This window comes from Homo sapiens, chromosome 3 (genome assembly GCF_000001405.40).
Source record: "Homo sapiens chromosome 3, GRCh38.p14 Primary Assembly".
NCBI lineage: Eukaryota > Metazoa > Chordata > Mammalia > Primates > Hominidae > Homo > Homo sapiens.
The window spans coordinates 121,565,550-121,591,067 of NC_000003.12; the positions used below are offsets into that span (position 1 = coordinate 121,565,550).

The window sequence follows — 25,518 nt, forward strand, 5'->3', positions numbered from 1 at the left end:
CAAAGTGCACATCTTTTAAAAGCAACTAGAGGCCAGGCACAGTGGCTCATGCCTATAATCTCAGCACTTTAGGAGGCCGTGGCAGGCGGATCACGAGATCAGTAGTTTGAGGCCAGCCTGGCCAACATGGTAAAACCCCGTCTCTACTAAAAAAATACAAAAAATACATATATATATATATATATATACACACACACATATATATGTGTGTATATATATATGTATTTTTTGTATTTTGTGTATATATATATATACACACATATATATATATATATGTGTATATATATGTGTGTATATATATAGCTGGGACATGGTGGCTAGCGCCTGTAATCTCAGCTAGTCAGGAGGCTGAGGCAGGAGAATTGCTTGAACCTGGGAGGCAGAGGTTGCAGTGAGCCGAGATTGTGCCACTGCACTCCAGCCTGGGTGACAGAGCAAGACTCCATCTTAGAAAAATAAAATAAAATAAAATAAAAGCAACTAGAGAGTAGAGAACAATTACCTGCAAAGGAATAAAAGTTTGGATGTTAGCAGACTTCTCAAATAAATGGCTTCTGTACTCACCTAACCTATTATGCAAGAATGATAACGTAATAAAGATATTTTAGACAAAGAAAGTTTGAAAATGTTTACAGTTAAAAGAACTATTTTTGATTCTACATCAGAAAAAATAAAACTGTGCCCAAAAGAAAGAGGATGAAAGAAGCAATGATGATCAAAGTACTTGATAAACATATGGTTAAATCTAAATAAATATTTATGACAAAAATAATAATGACCACTTTTAGGAACATAAAAGCAAACTTAGGCTGGACGTAGTGATTCATGCCTGTAATCCCAGCATTTTGGGGGGCCAAGGCAGGAGGATCACTTGGGCCCAGGAGTTCTAGACCAGCCTGGGCAACCTAGCAACACCCCATCTTTACAAAAAAAAATTTTTTTTAATTAGCTGGGGGTGGTGGTGCATATCTGTAGTCCCAGCTACTGGGGAGGCTGAAGTGAGAGAATCATTCTAGCCCAGGAGGTCAAGGCTGCAGTGAGCCATGATGGCACCACTGCAGTCCAGCTTGGGTGACAGAGTGAATACCATCTCTAAACAAAGAATAAAGAAATAAAAATAATGTAACTTTAAATCTTGCATATAACTTACATACCATTTGAGAGGGGGAGAAAATAAAAGGCAACCATTCTAACAGAAGGCTGGAAAAGTTAAAAACACACAAAGATTGTAAGAAATTAGGTAGAAATAAGTAGTGATCCCCCCATTATCCATGGGGATACATTCCAGGATCCTCGGTTTCTTCCTATACGACTGCATTGTATAGGCCAGGTAGCTTATACAGCATGGATACACTGGACAAAGGGATGATTCACATCCTGGGCGGAGCAGTACAGCCAATTTAAAATTTGAGCATTTAAAAAAAAAGGGCTGGACACGGTGGCTTACGCCTGTAATCCCAGCACTCTGGGAGGCCAAGGCGGGCGGATCACTTGAGGTCAGAAGTTCAAGACAGCCTGATCAACATGGTGAAACCCCGTCTCTACTAAAAAAAATACAAAAACAGCTGGTGGGTTGCACATGCCTCTAATCGTAGCTACTTGGGAGGCTGAGGCAGGAGAATCGCTTGAACCGGGGAGGTGGATATTGCAGTGAGCCGAGATGATGCCATTGCACTCCAGCCTGGGCAACAAGAGTGAAACTCCGTCTCAAAAAGAAAAGAAAAGAAATGAAAACTAACACATTTTTTATTTATGGAAGTTTCCATTTAATATTTTTGGGTGGCAGTTGACTGAAACCACAGAAAGCAAAACTGTGGATAAGGTGGGATTACTGTGTTCTTATCCTATCAAACATAAATGGATTATTCCATAAGAAAATTCTTAGATCAGATCACTATTTTAAAGATACACTCCTAAAACTTTACTTTTATTTTTTTGAGATAGGGTCTTGCTGTCTCGCTCTGTTGCCCAGACTGGAGTAGACTGGTGCAATTAGGGCTCACTGCAGCCTCAACCTCCCAGGCCCAAGTGATCCTTCCACCTCAGCCTCCCGAATAACTCAGACCACAGGCGTGTGTTACCACGCCTAGAGGAATTTTACACCTAAAACTTTGAACAACGCAAGTGTAAAAGTAAAAAGGTGGTTGCATCAAAAAGCACAGGAGTCGCCTTGAAGGGTTGTCAAAGGTAGGAAGTTTGAGTATAAAAAAAGAATAATTACTATTTTCAGCAACAGTTACACTATGCTCTAAGCATACTTATATTGAATGAACAAATGAATGAATGAAGGGTGGGACATCAGGGTGTGTCTGGGTGGTGCAGGGGCAGGAGGAGGTCTGATTGTATAAAAATTACATTTAAATACAGGGTCTTCTGCATGAGGACACACTAAGGAAACTGCATTTCCAGAGAGAGACACACCACGTAGGACTGAAAATGGTTACTCTAAGGGGATTCGTGACAGGTAAGCATGGGGGAGCGGGGAGGGTAGCCAGAATGTGGGGCTTTAAGTGCTCAAAGAGGATTTGAAAAATCAAAGGAGCAATATTAAAGGATGCAAACCACTCAGCCCATTCACATTAGAGGGACATGATATAGATGGTTGGGGACAGAAGGAAGGTCAGAAAGACTGACTGTTCACCTCATGAAAATCAGGGAGTGAATGTGAGACTCCTTACTTACTGAGTGTGGTTGTCAGTTCTGCAGGGCTCCCAAACTTTCTCCATCTGTGTTAGCCAGGCCTTTGGAAATCCTTAATTAGAATGTAAACTCCATCATAGCAACTATTTTTGTGTACTTCGTTCATTGCAGAATCCACAGACCTATGTAAGTGCCCATTTGTAGGAAGAAGGCAATAAAAAATTGCTGAGTAAATGTGGTTCTGCTAGTGGCAATTCTGCCTTATGCTCTTGATAGCCTCGATCAGGGAAAGCACTGTAGACCAGTTGAATCGTTTGCTTCTTTGTTTCTTTAATATGCTAGTTTAAGCTACAGACTCTCAATGCCCATCCCAGGAAAGTGGGCCAGGGTTTAGACTGTGTGTACAAGAGTCAGTAAGACCTGATTCATTCCCAGCTATGCTTCTTCTCTACCTGGCCAAACTTTTAGATCTCATGTCTCTTCATCTTTAAGAGGTTGATAATAATTGTCCATTACCCCATGTGTTTGTCGAGGATCACATGAATCATGTATATGAAGCACTTGGATGTCTGACGGTATCCTAATGTTGCTACTGAATGTTACTGCATCATTTATTTACTCTTAGGATTGTACTGAAGAACAGATGCTTAGTGAAGTTTAATTTCTTTTCAATTAAATGCTAAGCCTTAGGCCATCTGTTGTTATTGCTGTTCCAATTTTTTGGTCTCAGAACCTCTTTATATTCTTAAAAATTGTTAAGGACTCCAAAGAACTTTTGTTTCTATAGGATATACCTAGATATTTACCATATTCAAAGTGAAAACTGAGATTAAAATATATTTATTCATTCCTTTCAAAATAAAATGATAAATGCGTGACGTGTTAACTATATTTTCCACACACAAAAAAAAATTGTGAGACCAATGGCATTGTTTTACATTTTAGTACTTTAGGGCTTAATGGAAGATGGCAGAATTCTCTCCTGCTTTTGCAGTCACCTTTTCTGATGCATTACTCTATTGAAGTGTAAGAAGAAAATCTGACCTCATACAGATATGATGCTAGAAAAAGGAGTATTCTTGTAGCCTTTGAAATAATTGTGGATATTCTTTGAAATTACAACACAAACTCAACAAGTAGCAGTTTCTTAAAGATGAGTTGCAATGTGAAAACTTTTTTTTTTTTTTTTTTTTTGAGACGGAGTCTTGCTCTGTCGCCCAGGCTGGAGTGCAGTGACATGATCTCAGCTCACTGCAACCTCTGCCTCCTGGGTTCAAGCGATTCTTCTGCCTCAGCCTCCCTAGTAGCTGGGACTACAGGTGCGTGCCACCACGCCCAGCTAATTTTCGTATTCTTAGTAGAGATGGGGCTTTACCATGTTGGTCAGGCTGGTCTCAAACTCCTGACCTCAAGTAATTCACCCTCCTCGGCCTTTCAAAGTGCTGAGATTACAGGCGTGAGCCACCATGCCCGTCCTGCAATGTGAAATTTGAAATCATATGAATGAACTTTCCAAATTCTGTGACATTAAAATCCATTGGTCTACATTGAACTTTGAGTGGATCTTTTACCCATGCAGGATTTTGTAACATTACATACTGGTCATTTGCAAAATATTGGTTTATGAATTAAGAAGCTCTTCTAAATTTATTCCCCTGTACATTTGTTATAGAATAAGAGTGAAAAAGTAAAATAACATGCAAGATGTCACCATTGAGGGAGGCTAGCTGAAGTGTGTGCAGCACCTTAACCATATATATTATTTTGCAATTTCTTGTGAATCTGAAATTAGTTCAAAATTAAAAGTAAACAAAACAAAACCAGTAAACAACATGGTAATTTTTGCTTTCAATCTTCATATATATTCCAAATAGCTTTTAAACATTTAAGACCTATTATATGTAAGCAGATATTTACCATATGTGTGGCTTTTCCTTTATTCTTGAAGTTCCAATTTTCCCTCTTAGGAAGAATTTTCTTTAATACTCCACAGAACAGGACTACTGGCCACAGATTCTCATAGTTCAGAGAATGTCTTCATTTCACCTTCTTTCCTGAAAGATATTTTCCCTGGATACGGAATCTGAGTTGATTGGGAGTGATGGCAAGTGGTGTAAAAAACAATCTAAGTTGACAGTGGTACAAAATCTTTGAAGTGCTAAAAGAACTGTCTTTGTTTCTGATGAGAAATCTGTGGTCATTTGATCTCTATCTTTTCGTGTATAGATTGCACTTTAACAATCTCATCAAAGAAATATCCCTCTACTTTGAGTCACAAAGATATTGACACAGGATTTCTTTTGTTATTTCTAAAGTTTCATTTTTGACAAGTACAGCTAGAGTATTTCTCTATGGTATAAAATATGAATCATTTTCCAGCTGAGGTAGAGGAATTGGGGGTTAACCTCACTTGCCAGAGGTCATACATCAAGCCCAGGCTCCTTGAAAACATTGCTATCCAGCGAATGAATTCCTCATCAGCATTCCCTATCTCATAGGCCTTCCATCTCAGATTTCAGAAACCATGAGGAACAGAATGGCCCCAGAGAATCCCCAGCCAGACCCTTTCATCAATAGGAATTATTCCAACATGAAGGTGATACCACCACAGGATCCAGCTAGTCCCAGTGAGTATCATCCTTCTTTGTCCTCTTTCCTTTTCTACTGCCCCATTCTCATGCAGCCCTACAATTGCATTTTGCATTTGTTTTAAGGCAGCTATTGATTGTTTTAAAAAATCTATTCAAAAAGTCTTCCCATCATAAAAGGAGAAATACATTTCAAATCAAATGGGCCTTTGGCCCATGGTTGATTCAAATTATGAGAGATAAGCTAAGAATATAATATATAGAGCAAGTGAGCATGTTTTTCTAGGAGAAAAGATCTGAAACATAGACAGATAGAAACTGAGAAATCTCCTTTTCCAAGGCAGGTATATTGTGGCCCAATATGGAAGGAAAATGAAAACAAACAAACAAACAAAAGCTCATTATTCAGAGTAGTATTGTATACATGTATAAGAAGATTCATTTATATAAGGTGGATCTTAGTGAATTGTTCTGAAATATATATTTGTTATTTGATATTTTATCCTGGAGATTTCCCAAACATTGTTTGTATACAATGTTTACCTTTAAAAATATGTAAAACTGTATAAAAATCTGGTTTTTCTATACACTAATAAGCAATCAGAAAAGAAAATTATAAAAATAACTCCATTTACAATAGCATCAAAAATAATTAGGTACTAAGAAATAAACTTAACTAAGGATGTGAAAGACTTGTCCATTGAAAACTATAAAATGTTGCTGAAATAAAGACACAAATGGAAAAACACTCCATGTGCATAAATGGGAAGGCTTAATATTATTATTATTATTATTATTATTTTTTGAGACAGTCTTGCTCTGTCACCCAGGCTGGCAGTGCAGTGTCACAATCTTGGCTCATTGCAAACTCCACCTCCCGGGTTCAAGTGATTCTTCTGCCTCAGCCTCCCAGGTAGCTGGGACTACAGGCATGCACCACCATGCCCGGCAAATTTTTTTTTTTTTTTTTTTTTTTTTGTATTTTTAGTAGAGATGGGGTTTCACCATATTGGCCAGGCTGGTCTCAAACTCCTGACCTTTAGGGTTTTGTTTGTTTGTTTGTTTTTGAGATGGAGTTTCCGCTCTTGTTGCCCAGGCTGGAGTGCAATGGTGCGATCTCAGCTCACTGCAACCTCCGTCTCCCAGGTTCAAGCAATTCTCCTGCCTCAGCCTCCCGAGTAGCTGGGATTACAGGCATGTGGCACCATGCCTGGCTAATTTTTTTGTATTTTTAGTAGAGAAGGGGTTTCACCGTGTTAGCCAGGATGGTCTAGGATCTCCTGACCTCTGGTGATCCACCTGCCTTGGCCTCTCAAAGTACTGGGATTATAGGCGTGAGCCACCACACCCGGCTGACTCCTGACCTTGTGATCCGCCTGCCTCTGCTTCCCAAAGTCCTGGGATTACAGGCATGAGCCACCTCGCCTGGCCAGCTTTAATATTTTTATTATTATTGTTGTTTTTTTTTTTTTTTTTTTTTAAAGACGGAGTTTCGCTCTTGTTGCCCAGGCTGGAGTGCAATGGAGCGATCTCGGATCACTGCAACCTACGCCTCCCAGGATCAAGCGATTCTCCTGCCTCAGCCTCCCAAATAGCTGGGATTACAGGCAGGCGCTACCACACCCGGCTAATTTTTGTATTTTTAGTAGAGACAGGGTTTCACCATGTTGATCAGGCTAGATGGGCTCGAACTCCTGACCTTGGGTGATCCACGCGCCTCGGCCTTCCAAAGTGCTGGGATTACAGGCATGAGCCACCACTGCCCGGCCAGGCTTAATATTATTAATGTGTCAATACTACCTAAGCAATTTAAAGATTTAATGCAATCCCTATAAAAATCCCAATGGTGCTTTTTGCAGAAACTAAAAAAAGTCTATCCAAAAATTTATATAAAGTCTCAAGGAATCCCAAATAGCCAAAATAATGTTGAAAAAGATGAACAGATGAACAAAGCTGGAGGCCTCATATTACACAATCTCAACATTTATTACAAATTACAGTAATCAAAGAGTGTGGTGCTGGCATAAAGACAGATATATAGACCAATAGAAGAGAGCAAAGTCCAGAAATACGTCCTTGCACATATAGTCAACAAGGGTGCTAAGGCCATTCAATTGGGAGAGGACAGTCTCTGAAACAAATGGTGTTGGGAAAACTGAATATCCACATGTGAAAGAATGATGCTGGATCCTTACCTTACCACATGCAAAAATTAAAATGGATCAAGTCCTAAACACAAAAGCTAAAACTGCAAAGCTCATAGAAAAAACATAGAGGAAAAGCTTTATGACATTTGATTTAGCAATGGTTTCTTGGATATGACACCAAAAGCACAGGCAACAAAATAAAAATAGATAAATTAGACTACATTAAAAATAAAAACTTGTATGATCAAAGGACACAATCAAAAGAGTGAAATGGGGCCGGGCATGGTGGCTCATGCCTGTAATCCCAGCACTTTGCAAGGCCGAGATGCGTGGATCACCTGAGGTCAGGAGTTCTAGAGCAGCCTGGCCAACATGGTGAAACCCTGTCTCTACTAAAAATACAAAAATTAGCCAGGCGTGGTGGCAGGCGCCTGTAATCTCAGCTACTTGGGAGGCTGCGGTGGGAGAATCGCTTGAACTTGGGAGACAGAGACTGCAGCAGAGATCACGCCACTGCACTCCAGCTTGGATGACAGAGAGAGAGAGACTCTGTCTCAAAAAAGAAAAAAAAAAGTAAAATGGCAAACTATGTAGTGGGAGAAAATATTTGCAAAGCATTTATCTAATAAGGGGTTAATAGCTATAATATATACAAAACTAGAACTCAACAACAATAAAAAAAATCCAATTAAAAATGGGCAAAAACCTGAGGTCAGGAGTTCAAGATCAGCCTGACCAACATGGAGAAACCCTGTCTCTACTAAAAATACAAAATTAGCTGGGTGTGGTGGTGCATGCCTGTAATCCCAGCTACTCGGGAGGCTGAGGCAGGAGAATCACTTGAACCCAGGAGGCAGAGGTTGCAGTGAGCCGAGATCACGCCATTGCACTCCAGCCTGGGCAACAAGAGCAAAACTCCATCTCAAAAAAAAAAAAAAAAAAAAAAAAGGCAAAAAACTTGAATAGATCTTTCTCCAAAGAAGATATACAAATGGACAAATCCATGAAAGATGCTCAGCAACATTAATTATTAGGGGAAAGAAAATCAAAACCATACCCGTTAGGATGACAACTATCAAAGAAACAGAAAAGAACAAGTGTCGGTGAGGATGGGGAGAAATCAGAATGTTTGCAGGAATGTAAAATGGCACTGCCGCTGTGAAAAACAGTATGATGGTACCTCAAAAATTAAAAATAGACTTACCAGTTCAAGACCAGCCTAGGCAATATAGTGAGACCCCATCTTATAAAATAAATATATTTACTGAAAGGTATGAAAAGCTCTTTCCAGAAGCATTCAGGGCAGCAGTCTCCAACCTTTTTGGCACCAGGGACTGGTTTGTGGAAGACAGTTTTTCCACGGACTGGTTGGGGGGCTGATTTTGGGATGATCCAAGGACATTACATTTATTGCACATTTTATTTCTATTATTATTACATTGTAATATATAATGAAATAATTATGCAACTCACCATAATGTAGAATCAGTAGGAGACCTGAGCTTGTTTTCCTGTAACAAGATGCTCCCATCTGTGGCTGATGGGAGACAGTGACAGATCACCAGGCATTAGATTCTCATAATGAGCATGCAACTTAGATCCCTCACCTGTGCAGTGCACAATAGGATTCATGCTCCTATGAGAATCTAATGCTACCAGCTGATCTGACAGGAGGCGGAGCTCTGGCAATAATGTGAGCTATGGGGAGCGACTGTAAATACAGATAAAGCTTCGCTGACTCATTCGCTGCTCACCTCCTGCTGTGCGGACCAGTTCCTAACAGGCCATGGACCCATACCAGTTTGTGACCCAGGGGATTAGGGACCCCGGATTTAGGAGATGTGGAAGAATATGTTACACACCAAATAGAATTGTTATTTCTTACATCTCACACAGTACATGGCTAAGAATTTTGCAGAAAATCCCCAGCAGAATGGTAATGTGGAAATAGAGGCTGCAGGAACATGGTGAGAACTGAGAGAACAGAAGAAAGTTCAGAAAATTGATATGTTTGAAGACCAAATGTATGTACAAATTAGTCATTGCTGTTTCACACAATTTCAGTGGTTTTAAAAAAATAAGTATTTGTTGTTGTTTATCAATCTACAAGCCAGGCCAGGTGCAGTAGCTCACGCCTGTAATCTCGGCACTTTGGGAGGCCGAGGCAGGCGGATCACAGGGTCAAGAGATCGAGATCATCCTGGCCAACATGGTGAGACCCCCCATCTCTACTAAAAATACAAAAATTAGCTGAGCGTGGTGGCGTGTGCCTGTAGTCCCAGCTACTCAGGAGGCTGTGGCAGGAGAATCTCTTAAACCTGGGAGACAGAGATTGCAGTGAGCCAAGATCGTGCCACTGCACTCCAGCCTGGCGACAGAGCGAGACTCCATTTCAAAAAAAAAAAAAAGAAAAAGAAAAAAATCTACAAGCCAGCTGGCCATTTCTGATCTTGGCTGGCATCTCTTGCATGCTTGAGGGTTGACTAGCTGTAAACTCATTTAAAGTAGCCTATGTTGCAGAATATGAGCTCTTTTCGCTATAGTCTCTCATCCTCTAGAAGGCTAGTCCAGGCTTGGAGGGAGAGAGTGGGTGAGACAGAGAGAGGGCAGGCATGAGAGCGAGCACAGAAGCATGCACGGCCTCTTGAGTGGGGGGCATCATCACTTCAGAGTGTCACTCTCTGGCTCAATTAAGAAGGTGTGGCTAGGTTGGGCACAGTGCCTCATGCCTGTAATCCCAGCACTTTGGGAGACCGAGGTGGGTGGATCATTTGAGGGCAGGAGTTTGAGACCAGTGTGGCTGATATGGTGAAACCCCATCTCTAATAAAAGTAAAAAAATTAGCCAGCATGGTGGTGAGCGCCTGTAGTCTCAGCTACTTGGGAGGCTGAGGCAGGAGAATCGCTTGAACCTGTGGAGTGGAGGTTGCAGTGAGCTGAGATTGAGCCATTGCACTCTAGCCTGGGTGTTCCGGTGAGACTCTGTCTCAAACATTAAAAAAAAAGTGTGGTTGAAAATAAATGAAATAAATGTAGGACAAAGAGAAAAGGAAGAGGAAAATAAGGTCTCATTGTACATAATCTGTGAAGTGACTCAATAAAATAAAGCTATTCTTTTTTATTTTATAAATGTGAAAACTGAGACCCTCCACGTAAACAGACATTTATGTTTTGCCAAATTTTCTCCTTTTTTTTTTCCTTTTTGTGGAGAATGGGGGTCTCACTATGTTGTCCAGGCTGGTCTTGACTCCCAAGGTCAAGCAGAATGCTTTGCCTCCCTAAATGCTGAAATTACTGATGTCATCAACAGTGCCCAAACCAAATTTTCTAATAATAATGGACATATGTGTTCCCTGAGATTATGGTGGTTTGGATGGTCCAGTGGCTAAAGTGTGTCTATTTCCAAACTCAATTTATTTATTTATTTATTTCTGAGATGGAGCCTTGCTCTTTCACCCAGGCTGGAGTGCAGTAGTGTGATCTCGACTCACCGCAACCTCTGCCTCCTGAGTTCAAGTGATTCCCCTGCCTCAGCCTACCGAGTAGCTGGGATTACAGGTGTGCGCCACCATGCCCAGCTAATTTTTGTATTTTTAGTAGAGACAGGATTTCACCATGTTGGTCAGGCTGGTCTGAAATGCCTGACCTTGTGATCTAGCCGCCTCAGCCTCCCAAAGTGCTGGGATTACAGGCATGAGCCACCACGCCTGACCTTCCAAACTCAAATTTATATTCTCATTGTTCTTTCTTTCTCTTTCTTTTTCTTTCTTTCTCTTTCTTTCTTTTTCTTTCTTTCTTTCTTTCTTTCTTTCTTTCTTTCTTTTTCTCTTTCTTTCTTTCCTTTTCTTTTTTTGAGACAGGTTTCACTCTGTTATCCAAGCTGGAGTGCAGTGGCACGGTCTCGGCTTACTGCAGCCTCAACCTCCCAGGTTCAACTGATCCTCCCACCTCAGCCTCCCGAGTAGCTGCGACTACAGGTGCGTGCCACTACACCCTCTTTTGTAGAGACGAGATTTCACCATGTGGTCCAGACTGTTCTCAAACTCCTAAGACAGAGCAAGACCTTGTCTCTAAAAATAATAATAAAATAAATTAAGATAATGGAGATAAAACAAAAGTACTTGATGACCATTTCTATCAGTTCCATTCTATCTCCTCTCTGAGGTTGTCATTACAATAGGTTTCTCATAATTTTTGTAGTCTACTCTCTATATATTCATAAATTATAATTTTGAGTTATAAAGAAAAGTGTGTTGTGTATATATGTATGTGTGTATGTATATATATATATATCTACATGTACATATATATATATATATATATATATATATATATATTTTTTTTTTTTTAAATGGAGTCTCACTTTTTCTCCCAGGCTGGAGTGCAGTGGCGTGGTCTTGGCTCACTGCAACCTCCACCTCCTGGGTTCAAGCGATTCTCCTGCCTCAGCCTCCTGAGTAGCTGGGATTACAGGTGTGTGCCACCACACCAGCTAATTTTTTGTATTTTTAGTAGAGACAGGGTTTCACCATGTTGACCAGGCTGGTCTTGAACTCGTGACCTCAAGTGATCCGCCCGCCTGCCTTGGCCTCCCAAAGTGCTGGGATTACAAGCATGAGCCACCACACCTGGCCAGAAAAGTATATTTTACATGTCACATTACCCTGCTGAAAAGACTTCATTTTCAGTGACATACTCTAAACTAAAATAAAATTAATTTACAAAAGAGAGGTATGTTGTGCATACAATGTGCCACACATTATTGTAGTGTATTAATGCCTTTACATTAATAAATCAATATAATTAGTGCCTTACATTAATACATTCATGTAATAAATTTACAAACCCTATTATAAAGTAGGTATTCATTTTTGTGTGTGTGGCAAGGTCTCATTCTGTTGCCCAGGCTGGAGTGCACTGGCATAATCTCAGCTCACTGCAACTTCTGCCTCCTGGGGTTCAAGCGATTCTCCTACCTCAGCCTTTTGAGTAGCTGGGATTACAGGTGCTTGCCACCATATCTGGCTAATTTTTGTATTTTTGGTAGAGACAGGGTTTCACCATGTTGGCCAGGCTGGTCTCAAACTTCTGACTTCAAGCGATCCGCTCGCCTTGGCCTCCCAAAGTGCTGGGAATACAGGCGTGAGCCACCACACCTGGCCAAAAGTACGTACTCTTAACATTCCCCCTACCCCACTTTTTTTTTTTTTTTTTTTTTTTGAGACAGAGTTTCACTCTTGTTGCCCAGGCTGGAGTGCAATGGCGCAATCTTGGCTCACTGCAACCTCCTGCCTCCCAGGTTCAAGTGATTCTCCTGCCTCAGCCTCCAGAGTAGCTGGGATTACAGGCATGCGCCACCATACCTGGCTAATTTTGTATTTTTAGTAGAGATGGGGTTTCTCCATGTTCGTCAGGCTGATCTCGAACTCCTGACCTCAGGTGATCCACCCACCTCAGCCTCCCGAAGTGCTGGGATTACAGGTGTGAGCCACCACATCTGGCCACATTCCCCTTTTATGCTTGATGAAACTGAGGTGGGCTGGGTGTGGTGGCTTCCACCTATAATTCTAGCACTTTGGGAGGCTGAGGTGCGGAGGATCACTTGAGCCAAGGAGTTTGAGATTAGCCTTAGCAACATAGCAAGACCCCATCTGTATTTAAAAAATTAAAAAATTTTAAAAAAGAAATTGAGGTGAAGAGTTTGGGTAATAGGTTCATAATCACATTCCTAGAAAAGTATAGTTTTATCTTTTTTTTTTTTTTTTTAAACAGAGTCTCGCTCTGTTGCCCAGGCTGGAGGGCAGGGGCGCGATCTCGGCTCACTGCAAGTTCTGCCTCCCAGGTTCATGCCATTCTCCTGCCTCAGCCTCCTGAGTAGCTGGGACTGCAGGCACCCGCCACCACACCCAGCTATTTTTTTTTTTTTTGTATTTTTAGTAGATATGGGGTTTCACCATGTTAGACAGGATGGTCTTGTTCTCCTGACCTCGTGATCCACCTGCCTTGGCCTCCCAAAGTGCTGGAATTAAAGGCGTGAGCCACCGTGCCCGGCCTGAAAAGTACTGTTTTAAAAGCAAAATTTCTACTGTTGAACATATATCAAGATTACTGCTTAAAACTTTTCCACAGTGCAACTTGCATATTATGGACTCCTTGAGCTAATTGAATAAGAAATAGATCAAAGTTTTCAGAAGACAGCATGTATACATTTAAATTTCTGGAAGAAATGCGCCCCACATGGATGTGAGTTTTCCTGGGATATTATTGGTAGTTGTCCATATATGATGTTTCCTTGACTTAATCTTCCTTATCACATTGCCCTAAAAAATAACTTAGGTCTGCATTTATAATTATTGAAGTATTTGTAACACAAAGTATATCCTGGTTCCAGGCTTTTTATTTTTCCTTATCTGATACCAAACTGATCTATAGTTTCTTTAATTTTCATTTTAGCCAAGGCTGACTGAAAATACTTTCAAGTATATAATGTTTATTTCCACAGTACTCTGATGAATAGGGTATCCTTTGTGACTCCTCAGCCACATATTTTAATCAGCATCAGTGATTCCAGCGTGTCCTTGATACCACAGGACCAAGCCAGTTCCAGCAAGCTCTGTTCCCCTGTGCCCTCTCTGTAGTCTGTATCTCTTCTCAGGGAGCCCACTTGTCCTTCCCTAAGAGGGTAGTTACCAGGTGTGAATATAACAGACCTAAATCTAGGACTAAATATCTTGTATGTTGGTCATATTTGATTGAGATGGGTTTTCCTGGAATAGAATCAGGAGGCTGATGAGCTGGGTATGGTGGTGCACATTTAGTCCCAGCTACTGTGAAGGCTGAGGCAGGAGGATCCCTTGAGCCCAGGTGTTAGACACCAGCCTGGGCAACATAGCGAGACCTCGTGATCTGCCCGCCTTGGCATCCCAAAGTGCTGGGATTACAGGCATGAGCCACCGCACCTGGCCTTCCAAAATCAAATTTATATTTTCTTTCTTTCTTTCTTTTTCTTTTCTTTTCTTTTCTTTTTTTTTTTTTTTTTTTTTTTTTTGAGACAGGTTTCACTCTGTTATCCAAGCTGGAGTGCAGTGGCGCGGTCTCAGCTTACTGCAGCCTCAACCTCCCAGGTTCAACTGATTCTCCCACCTCAGCCTCCCGAGTAGCTGGGAATACAGGTGCGTGCCACTACACCCTTTTTTGTAGAGACGGGATTTCACCATGTTTTTGTAGAGACGGGATTTCACCATGTGGTCCAGACTGGTCTCGAACTCCTAAGACAGAGCAAGACCTTATCTTACTGCAACCTCCGCCTCCCGTGTTCAAGTGATTCCCCTGCCTCAGCCTACCGAGTAGCTGGGATTACAGGCATGCACCACCATGCCCAGCTAATTTTTGTATTTTTAGTAGAGATGGAGTTTCACCATGTTGGTCAGGCTGGTCTCGAACACCTGACCTCATCTCTAAAAATAATAATAAAATAAATAAACAAAATAAATTAAGATAATGGAGGTAAAACAAAAGTACTCAACCATTTCTATCAGTTCCATTCTACTGCCTCTCTGAGGTTGTCATTGCAATAGGTTCTCATAATTTTTGTAGTCTACTCTCTATATATTCATAAATCATAATTTTGAGTTATAAAGAAAAGTGTGTGTGTGTGTGTGTGTGTGTGTGTATATATATATATTTTTTTTTTTTTTTTGAGATGAAGTCTCACTTTTTCGCCCAGGTTGGAGTGCAGTGGTGCGGACTTGACTCACCGCAACCTCCGCCTCCTGGGTTCAAGTGATTCTCCTGCATCAGCCTCCTGAGTAGCTGGGATTACAGGTGTGTGCCACCACACCTGGCTAATTTTTTGTATTTTTAGTAGAGACAGTCCTATTTCAAGGGACATTTTGAATAAATACAGAAGCAAGCTAATGATTCAAAAGTATGTAAAAAGCTAAAAACACACACAAAAACCCACTGCTTCCTTTACTGTATCATCTATATGTTTTTTATTTAATTTACTTTTATTATATGTTGTGTTTAGATACACACAAATAGATAGCAAGTTTATTATTATTATTTCTTTTTTGAGGCCGAGTCTCGCTCTGTTGCCCAGGAGTGCAATGGCATGATCTCAGCTCACTGCAACCTCTGCCTCCCGGGTTCAAGCGACTCTCGTGCCTCAAGTAGCTGGGCTTACAGGCACACATCACCACTCCAGGCTAATTTTTGTATTTTTAGTAAAGATGGGGTTTCGCCATGTTGGCTAGGCTGGTCTCAAACTCCTGACCTCAAGTGGTCTGCCCAAAGTGCTGGGATTACAGGTGTGAGCCACCATGCCTGGCCAAAATAGTAAGTTTAAAGCTTCTAACTTTACTTTTAATAGGTAATTAAACAATGTATATATGACATTGAATGCAACACATTAATAAAATGTAACAATTTTGTTAAGCAGACAAAATATAATCCAATGAGATGGTTTACATTCTTTGTTCATAGCAAGACTTTAAAATCCAGTGAATACTTTACACTTTGCATATCTCAGTCTAGATGCTAAATATTTCATGAGAAATACTTGATCTGCATTTAGATTTCATAAAATCACAGTTGAAAAAAGGTTGACGAACCCAAGTTGTTCCAAGCATACTAGTTTCCCAATAATTGCACTATCAGTTTTTAATTTTAAATTAACATTTAATAAAATTAAAAATTACAGGCACAGTGGCTCATACCTGTAATTCTAGCACTTTGGGAGGTGGAGGTGGGAGGATGACTTGAGCCCAGGGGTTTGAGACCAGCCTGGACAACGTAGCAAAACCTCATCTCTACACACACACACACAAAAATTAGCCAGGCATGGTGTGTGCACCTCTAGTCCCAGCTACTCGGGAGGCTGAGGTGGGAGAATCACTTGAGCCAGGGAGATGGCAGTTGCAGTGAGCTATAATCAAGCAACTGCACTGCAATCCAGCCTGGGCTGGTGAGGGAGACTCTGTAAAAAAAAAAAATCAGCTCCTCAGTGGAACTAGCCACATTTCCCATGATTAATAGTCATTTGAAGCAGTGGCTACTGTATTGAACAGAACAGCTCTAGAGAGTAATTGGGTGGTTGGGGAACAGGGATGGTTTCAATTTTGTACTATTTGTACATATTGCTTTTCCAAATAAATGAATAAATCAAGTTCTTATTTTTAAACAATTTACAGTTTGTAAATTGTTATTTTTAAACAATTTACAGTAAGTAGTTAGGTTATGGAAGTCACAAATGCACCCCTATGGGATGAGTGTGGGGGGAAAGTGGTTATCTTAATATTATATAAATAAGTTTCCTGTGGCTTAGAACAAAATTCCCAGTAACAGTATTCCACAGACACATTCCAGAAATATTGTATCACAAACTACTTATTTGAAAGTAAAGAATTAGTGCCTGGTAAAACGATGTTATTTAATTAAAAGAACAGGCTCAGAATATTTAAGATATGGCTATCTAAGGTAAATACAGTTTGAGTAGAATAATTTTATTAAATGTGAGCAGAAAAAAATCAATATTTCTAAGTATATTGGATTTCACATATATATATGAACTGAAAAAATAAGATATTATAAGTTTAGAAATATGTACATTTAAAGTGGGATTAAATATGTTTTATATAGGTTATTTTCATCTACGTTCGTAAGTGGCATTGCCTATAGTTTTATCTATAGTGTTTATTTTTGCCTGATTTTAGTATTGGTATTATGGACTTTTAAGTACAAGAAGGGAGGTCCAAGTGAGGACCTTTCCTCCTTTTACTTTTATTTTATTTATTTTTCTAGAGCCAGGGTCTCTCTCTGTTGCCCATGCTGGAGTGCAGTGACATGATAGTAGCTCACAATAGCCTTGATCTCCTGGGTTAAAGTGATCCTCCCACCTCAGCCTCCCATAGCTGGGACCACAGGCATGTGCTACCATGCCCACCTAATTTTTAAACATTTTCTGTAGAGACAGGGTCTCATTATATTTCTCAGGCTGGTCTTAAATTCCTGGCCTCAAGCAATTTTCCTGCCTTGGCCTCCCAAAGTGCTGGGATTATAGGTGTGAGCCACTGTGCATGGCCAAATTTTGATAATTGCGGGATTTTTTTTTTTTTTTTTTTTTTGAGACAGAATCTTGCTCTGTCACCCAGGCTAGAGTGCAATGCAATGATCTCGGTTCACTGCAACCTCCACCTCCAGGGTTCAAGCAATTCTCGTGCCTCAGCCTCCCTAGTAGCTGGGATTACAGGCATGCACCACTATGCCTGGCTAATTTTTGTAGTTTTAGTGGAGACAGGGTTTTGCCGTGTTGGCCAGGCTGGTCTCAAACTCCTGACTTCAAGTGATTCACCTGCCTCAGCCTCCCAAAGTGCTGGGATTACAGGTGTGAGTCACCACACCTGGCTGATAATTGCATTTTTAAAGAAAAAACCCTTTTCCTTTCCATTGCCATTAAAAAACTATACTTTTTCAATCTTCTATACATATTTATTTTTATTTTGTTTTATTTTATTTTATTTTATTTTATTTTGAGACAGGGTCTCACTCTGTCACCCAGGCTGACACATGATTGTGCAGTGACACAATTATGGTTCACTGCAGCCTCAACCTCCCAGGCTCAGGCAATTCTCCCACCTCAGCCTCAAGAATAGTTATTATGCGGTGACAATCATGGTTCACTACAGCCTCAACCTCCTGGCTCAAGCAATCCTCCCACCTCAGCCTCAAGAATAGTTGGGACCACAGGTACATGCAACCATGCCCAGCTAATTTTTTAATTTTTCATAGAGACAGGGTCTCCCTACACTCCCCAGGCTGGTCTCCAACTCCTCCAGTCATGTGATGCTCTTACCTTGGCCTCCCATAAGTGCTGGGATTACAGGTGTGAGCACATTGTGCTGACCACGTTTGATTTCTTTTCCCCAAAGTAGTGAATAGAGCCTCAGAAATCCCATAAAAGAAAAAGCTCTACCAGGCACGGTGGTTCACATCTGTAATCCCAACACTTTGGGAGGCCAAGGCAGGAGGATCACTTGAGCCCAGGAGTTCAACATCAGCCTGAGCAATGTAAGGAAACCCCATCTCTGTGAAAGAAAAAGTTTTTTAATTAGCCAGGAGGGGTGATAGTGCCTGTAGTCCTAGCTACTCAGGAGGATGAAGCCAGAGGATTGCAGGAGCACAAGAGTTCAAGGTTACAATGAACTATGATCGTGCCACAGCATTCAGCCTGGGCAATAGAGCAAGACCCCGTCTCTAAAAAAAGAGAGAGAGACAGAGAGAGAGGAAGGAAGGAAGGAAGGAAGGAAGGAAGGAAGGAAGGAAGGAAGGAAGGAAGGAAGGAAGGAAAGAAAAGAAGAGCAAAGCAAAGCAAAGCAAAGAAAAGAGCCTATTTGCCAGATGAGATGGACTGGATTCCTGAACAAATAAATGAAGAGAGGAAACCCATTTAGAAGAGTGGGTTATATTCAGTTGCAAAGACATGGGGTTTATTCCTAGTTTTTTCTATTTCATAATTAAAAAAATTTTTGGCTAGCTCTTGCACAGAATATTCCTAGTTTCTAGAATAACAAAAGTGTGAAAAAGATGAGAAGACAGAAGCTACTATCCACTGTCCTGAGGTTAGGTAGGGTAGAAAGACTGAGTACCAGAGAATAAAAGTAAAACAGAAAACTTTTCAGTGCAGTCAGGGCAGACTGAAACTCAAGGGAGCCAGTTTCCAGAGTGAACAGACTGAGTACACAGAAAATTGAAGAGGTAACTCATGTCCTATCAGAGACAAAATCTCAGAAAGCGGAGGACAGAGCATTGTTACACAGGGCTCAGCCATTCAGACTCAAGACCTGGGATCTGCATTTTCTGGATCCTAAGCCTGGTTGGAGGAAAGGCATGAGAGATTCACCATGGTGATTTGTTTTTTGGTTTTTGTTTTTTTGGTTGGGGGGAGAGATTGGTAATGTAAATGTAACCACCCCTTCTTTATCTCTGCCCTGAAGCAATACGGAGAAGGCATAAAGAACGTACTTCTTTCACCCACCAACAGTATGAGGAGCTAGAAGCTCTGTTTAGCCAGACCATGTTCCCAGATAGAAATCTTCAGGAGAAACTAGCTTTGAGACTCGACCTACCGGAGTCAACAGTAAAGGTCTGATCCCCTGTGGTGTGCTTGGTACCCCCATCCAAGCCACATTCACCTATCCAGCCTGGAAATTCCCCACCCTCTACCCCTGCCCCACAATAATATTTCATTAATTGAGTACCTACTGAAACGGTATCAAACTGGGGACATCGCAAATACTGGCCTCACTCTCATGCAGTTTGAAAAATGAGAAAAAATGAGGTTCAGAGGCAAAGTGACTGGGCCACAGAGATAAGAAATAGTGTTGCTAGAACTAAAACCCCAGAAATCTTATTTTTAATACTTGTACTATAGAGTTCAAATAGCGGAAAGGTGCTCATCCAGACAGACTCCTCGCTTAGAGTCTTTTTAAGCAAAGCCCTGCAATCTGTTTATTCATAATGCTACCAACAGACAAATAATACTCCCTCTAACCTCTGAGTCTGCTAAAGCCCATGACGTTTTTCTTTTTTCTCTTTTTTTCAGAGATGGGGTCTCACTATGTTGCCCAGGCTGGTCTCAAACTCCTGAGCTCAAGTGATCCTCTCACCTCAGACTCTCAAAGTGCTGGGATTACAGGTGTGAGCCACCGTGACTGGCCATACATTTTTACTGGAGTATTCCTTATAGGAGAGGCCTCCTAAAATAATCCTTAAAAATCCTTCAGTTCAAATTCTTCACCTCTCCCTAGATCCTAGATCCCTAAACTAGCCTCTCTTCTCTAGAGTTCAGGACCCTATCTCTGAACACCCAGCACAAACCCTGAAACACACCCGCTTCCTTCCTTTCTGGGGTCCCAGACCTGATCTTCATCATCCCTCCTACTGACTCCAGTCATGCCCATCTCTGCTTTTGCAGAGCCCAGTGTCATGGTGAATTAGAGAGGACATGAAGATTATAACCTGGCTGTTTTCACTCAGGAGAATCCTCCAATGCCTCCTCCAATAACAGACCACAATCTCCCCCTCTTCCCCTACTCCCAGGTTTGGTTCAGGAACCGGCGATTCAAATTGAAGAAGCAGCAGCAGCAGCAATCAGCAAAGCAACGAAACCAGATCCTTCCATCCAAGAAGAATGTGCCCACCTCCCCCAGAACATCCCCCAGTCCTTATGCTTTTTCTCCTGTGATTTCAGATTTCTACAGCTCCCTTCCATCTCAGCCCTTAGACCCTTCCAATTGGGCATGGAACTCTACCTTCACTGAGAGTTCTACCAGTGACTTCCAAATGCAAGATACTCAGTGGGAGAGGCTGGTGGCCTCGGTTCCTGCTTTGTACTCTGATGCCTATGACATATTCCAAATCATAGAACTGTACAATCTTCCTGATGAGAATGAGATATCCAGCTCTTCTTTCCACTGTCTGTATCAGTATCTCTCACCCACAAAGTACCAGGTAGGAGGACAGGGTTCCTCTCTCAGCATCTTTGCTGGTCCAGCTGTAGGCCTATCTCCTGCACAAACCTGGCCCAATATGACAAGCCAAGCCTTTGAAGCCTACAGTCTAACAGATAGCCTGGAATTCCAGAAAACCTCCAATATGGTAGACTTGGGATTTCTCTGACCAGAGTACTAATAAATATAGATCATTTAGAAAAGTGGTCTTCTTGCCTCTTGTACATGACTGTTTTTTTCCTTTGTCTCATTTTAACCCAACATCTGGGTCTGTGTCTCTGATTTCCATGTAAATGTTGCAAAAAGAGTTTTCCAAGTAGAGCTGGGCACTACGTAATCAGCCCCACAAGTCTCCCTGAGAAGCCTGCCTAGTCCCTTTCATGGCCAATGAGACTCCAAAATTCCCTTCCCAAAACTATCTTGGATTTTCTAAAAGTAGGACAGTGGTTTTGGGGGTTATCCACTTTTATTTTTTTGAAACTAGCTCTCATTCTGTCACCCAGGCTGGAATACAGTGGTACAGTCACGGCTCACAAAAGCCTTGACCTCCTGGGCTCAGGTGATCCTCCCACCTCAGCCTCCTGAGTAGCTAGGACTACAGATGCTCGCCACCACACCTGGCTAATTTTTTTTTTTTGAGACTGAGTCTCGCACTGTCACCCAGGGTGGAGTGCAGTGGCGGGATCTCAGCTCAGTGCAACCTCCACCTCCTGGGGTTCAAGTGATTCTCCTGTGTCAGCCTCCTGAGTAGCTGGGATTACAGGCGTGTGCCACCATGCCTGGCTAACTTTTGTATTTTTAGTAGAGACGGGGTTTCACCACGTTGCCCAGGCTGGTCTTGAACTCCTGACCTCCAGTGATCCGCCTGCCTTGACCTCCCAAAGTGCTGGGATTACAGACATGAGCCACCGAGCCTGGCCAATTTTTGTGTTTTTTGTAGAGACGAGGTTTTGCCATGTTGCCCAGGCTGGTCTCCAACTCCTGGACTTAACGCCATCCACCTGCCACAGCCTCCCAAAGTGCTAGGAATACAGGAGTGCACCATCGCACCCGGCTGGGTTATCTAGTTTAAAAACACTTTTTTTCAAGGAAACCGAAGAAACCATCATCCACTTTTCTCTCTGTATCATTCTGATTTTAGTATATGTGTTGTGGAAGTGAGTACACTATCATCCACTTTTAATGACAGAAAGTTATAAACTTACATTTTGTTTCCAATTTTTCATTTTTTGTTTGTTATTTGTTTTTTGTAGACAGCACTCTGTCACCCAGGCTGGAGTGCAGTGGCACCATCTTGGCTCACTGCAGCCTCTGCCTCCTGGGCTCAAACAGTCCTCCCACCTCAGCCTTCTGAGTAGCTGAGACTACAGACATGCGCCACCATGTCTGGCTAATTTTTGTATTTTTAGTGGAGATGGGGTTTCGCCTTGTTGCCCAGGCTGAATTTGGGTTTTTTTAAAATGAGACTTTCAGTCCTAATTTGAGGGGAAATTACTGTCACCACTAGTTTTAATATAGTACAATGAAAAAATAATATATATATATATAGTACAATGGTCCAGACATAATAAGAGGTGTAAAAACTATCACAGGAAGAAATAAAAACAGATTTTTGAAGGTGAGATGATAAACTTGCAAAACTCACAAAATAAAGAGTCAAACTTTTAGAATGACAAGTTAGCATATTTTCCAGCCACATGATCAACCTACAAAATTAATACCATTTCTGAACACCAGTAATAAAGAAACATAAGGGCTGGGGGTGGTGGCTCATGCCTGTAATCCCAGCACTTTGGGAGGCCGAGGCGGGCGGATCACGAGGTCAGGAGATTGAGACCAGCCTGACTAACATGGTGAAATCCCGTCTCTACTAAAAATACAAAAAAAAAAAAAAAAAAAAGCCAGGCATGGTGGCACACACCTGTAATCCCAGCTACTCGGGAGGCTGAGGAAGGAGAATTGCTTGAACCTGGGAGGTGGAGGTTGCAGTGAGCTGAGGTCGCACCACTGCACTCCAGCCTGGACAACAGAGCAAGACTCTGTCTCAAAAAAAAAATAAAAAATAAAAAATAAAAAATAAAAGAAACATAAGATAAGTACCTCTCAATGAAAAATGTAAAAGTACCTAGAAATTCACAAAAAAATTAATACCTCTGTGGAGAAAACTTCAAAACTTAAAAAAGGACATAGAAAATGTTTTGAATAGGCCAGGCGCAGTGGCTCACACCTGTAATCCCAGCACGTTGGGAGGCCAAGGCGGGCAGATCACGAGGTCAAGAGATCAAGACCATCCTGGCCAACATGGTGAAATCCTGCCTCTACTAAAAATACAAAAAAAAAAAAAAATTAGCTGGGCATGGTGGCACACACCTGTAGTCCCAGCTACTTGGGAGGCTGAGGCAGGAGAATCACAAGGATTGAAACTATGCAGTGTGTTCTCCAAACATGATGGAACGAAATTAGAAATCAATAAAATTTGGGAAATTCACAAATATGTGGATATTAAACAACACATTCCTAAATAACCAGTGGTTAAAGAGGTAATCACAGTCTGAGCAACATGGCAAAACCCTGTGTCTACAAAAAATAAAAAATTAGCTGGGCATGACGGCCAGAGCCCATGGTCCCAGCTACTCGAGAGGCTGAGGTAAGAGCATCCCTTGAGCCACAGAGGTCGAGGCTGCAGTGAGCTGTGACTGTGCCACTGCACTCCAGCTTGAGCAACACAGTGATACTGTCTCAATAAATAAATAAATAGAAGAAATCATGAGTAAAATTGGAAAACACTTTTAACTGAAAAAAACAAAAGCACAACAAACCAAAACATGGGATGAAGCTAAATCAATGCTTAGAAGGAAATTTATAGCTTCAAATACTTATATACATATTTTTTAAAAGTAGCTTTACATAGGAAGGAAGTGGCATAGTTTTATCAATATCTGTCAAATTAAACTTCAAGGCAAAACTTTTTTATTGAGATGGAGTCTTGCTCTGTCACCCAGGCCGTGCAATCTCGGCTCACTGCAACCTCCGCCTCCTGGGTCAAATGATTCTCCTGCTTTAGCCTCCCAAGTAGCTGGGACTACAGGTGTACGCCACCACACCCAGCTAATTTTTGTATTTTTAGTAGGGACAGGTTTTGCCATGTTGCCCAGGCTGGCCTCAAACTCCTGAGCTCAAGTGATCCTCCCGTCTCAGCCTCCCAAAGGGCTGAGATTACAGGTGTGAGCTACCTCACCTGGCCAAAACAGTTTTTTTAGAAATGAAGTATATTAGACAACAACAAAAGGAACAACTAACCTGAAATATATAATAACTTTGAACTTAAATATACTTAACAACATATACCAAAAATATATGAGGCAAATTTTAGCAAAAATTAAAATTCTTAAGAAAACTTCACTAATATATAGTCATAATGTGGTATATTCATAGAACATTCTCAATAATTGATAATAACAGTCCAAAGAAAGCAGAAAGAAGGAAAGCCTAGAACAGAAATAAATGAAATAGAGAATAGAAAAGCAATACAGAAAAAAAATTATGAAATCAAAAGCTGGTTCTTTGAAAAGATCTACAAAATGGCAAACATTTAGCTAGATTGACCACCCCCTCAAAAGACTCAAATTACTAGAATCAGAAACAAAAGTCAAGATTTTATTACCAAACTTATAGAAATAAAAATTATTAGAAAGAAATACTATGAACAATTGAATGCCAACAAATTAGATAAATGAAATGGACAAATTCCTAGGAAGACACAGAATACCAAATCTGACTCCACAAGAAATAGATGTTGTGAATAGAGCTTGCTATGGTATGAATGTGTCCCCCACAGCTCATGCGTTGGAAACTTAATCCCCAAAGCAACAGCTTTGAGAGGTGAGACCTTTAAGGGTTACTAGGCAGAGCCCCCATGAATGGATTAATGCCATTATTGTGGGAGTGGGTTAGTTATCTCAGAAGTGGGTTCCTGATAAAAGGATGAGTTCGGCCTTCTTCTTCCCCAAAATCTTTATCCCCACCCCCACCTCTATCTTTCTCTCTCTCTCTTACCTCCTCCTCTCCCTTCCTTCTGCCATGGGAGGATGAAACATGAAGGCCCTGGCCAGGTGTGGCCCCTCCATCTTCCGTCTGAGACTGGAAGACTTCCCAGCCTTCAGAACTGTAAGAAATAAATCTCTCTTCATAAATTACCCAGTCTCAGGTATTCTGTTATAACAACACAAAAACAGACTGAGACAGAGTTATAACAAGCACAGAGATTGAGTTAACAATTGAAAACTTCCCACAAAGAAAAGCCCAGTCCCAGATGGCTTCACTGCTAAATTCTACCAAAATGTTTAAAGAAGAATTAACACCAATCCTTCATAAACTTTTCCAAAAAAAACAAAAGAGGAGGGAACTCATTTTATGAGATCGATATTATCTGGATACCAAAGCTGAACAAAGACGCCATAAGGGAACTACAGATTATAGTGAGTATCCCCTATTGGAAATGCTTGGAACCAGAAGCGTTTCAGATTTGGAGTTTTTGGAATATTTGCACATACATAATGAGATATCTTGGGGATGGGACACCAGCCTAAACACAACTCATTTATGTTTCATATACACCTTATATACATAGCCTGAA

At 41.2% G+C, this 25,518-nt stretch overlaps 1 protein-coding gene across 1 annotated transcript; it reads left to right on the plus strand.

Annotated features, from left to right (window-relative positions):
• Window positions 1-2,399: 2,399 nt before the first annotated feature.
• Window positions 2,400-25,073, plus strand: ARGFX (arginine-fifty homeobox). The gene is made up of 5 exons (NM_001012659.2): window positions 2,400-2,464; window positions 5,153-5,267; window positions 11,235-11,351; window positions 19,368-19,516; window positions 20,473-25,073. The coding sequence occupies exons 2-5, from the start codon at window positions 5,165-5,167 to the stop codon at window positions 21,049-21,051; spliced, it is 948 nt and encodes a 315-aa protein (NP_001012677.1). The 5' UTR covers window positions 2,400-2,464; window positions 5,153-5,164; the 3' UTR covers window positions 21,052-25,073.
• The last annotated feature ends 445 nt before the right edge of the window (window positions 25,074-25,518 follow it).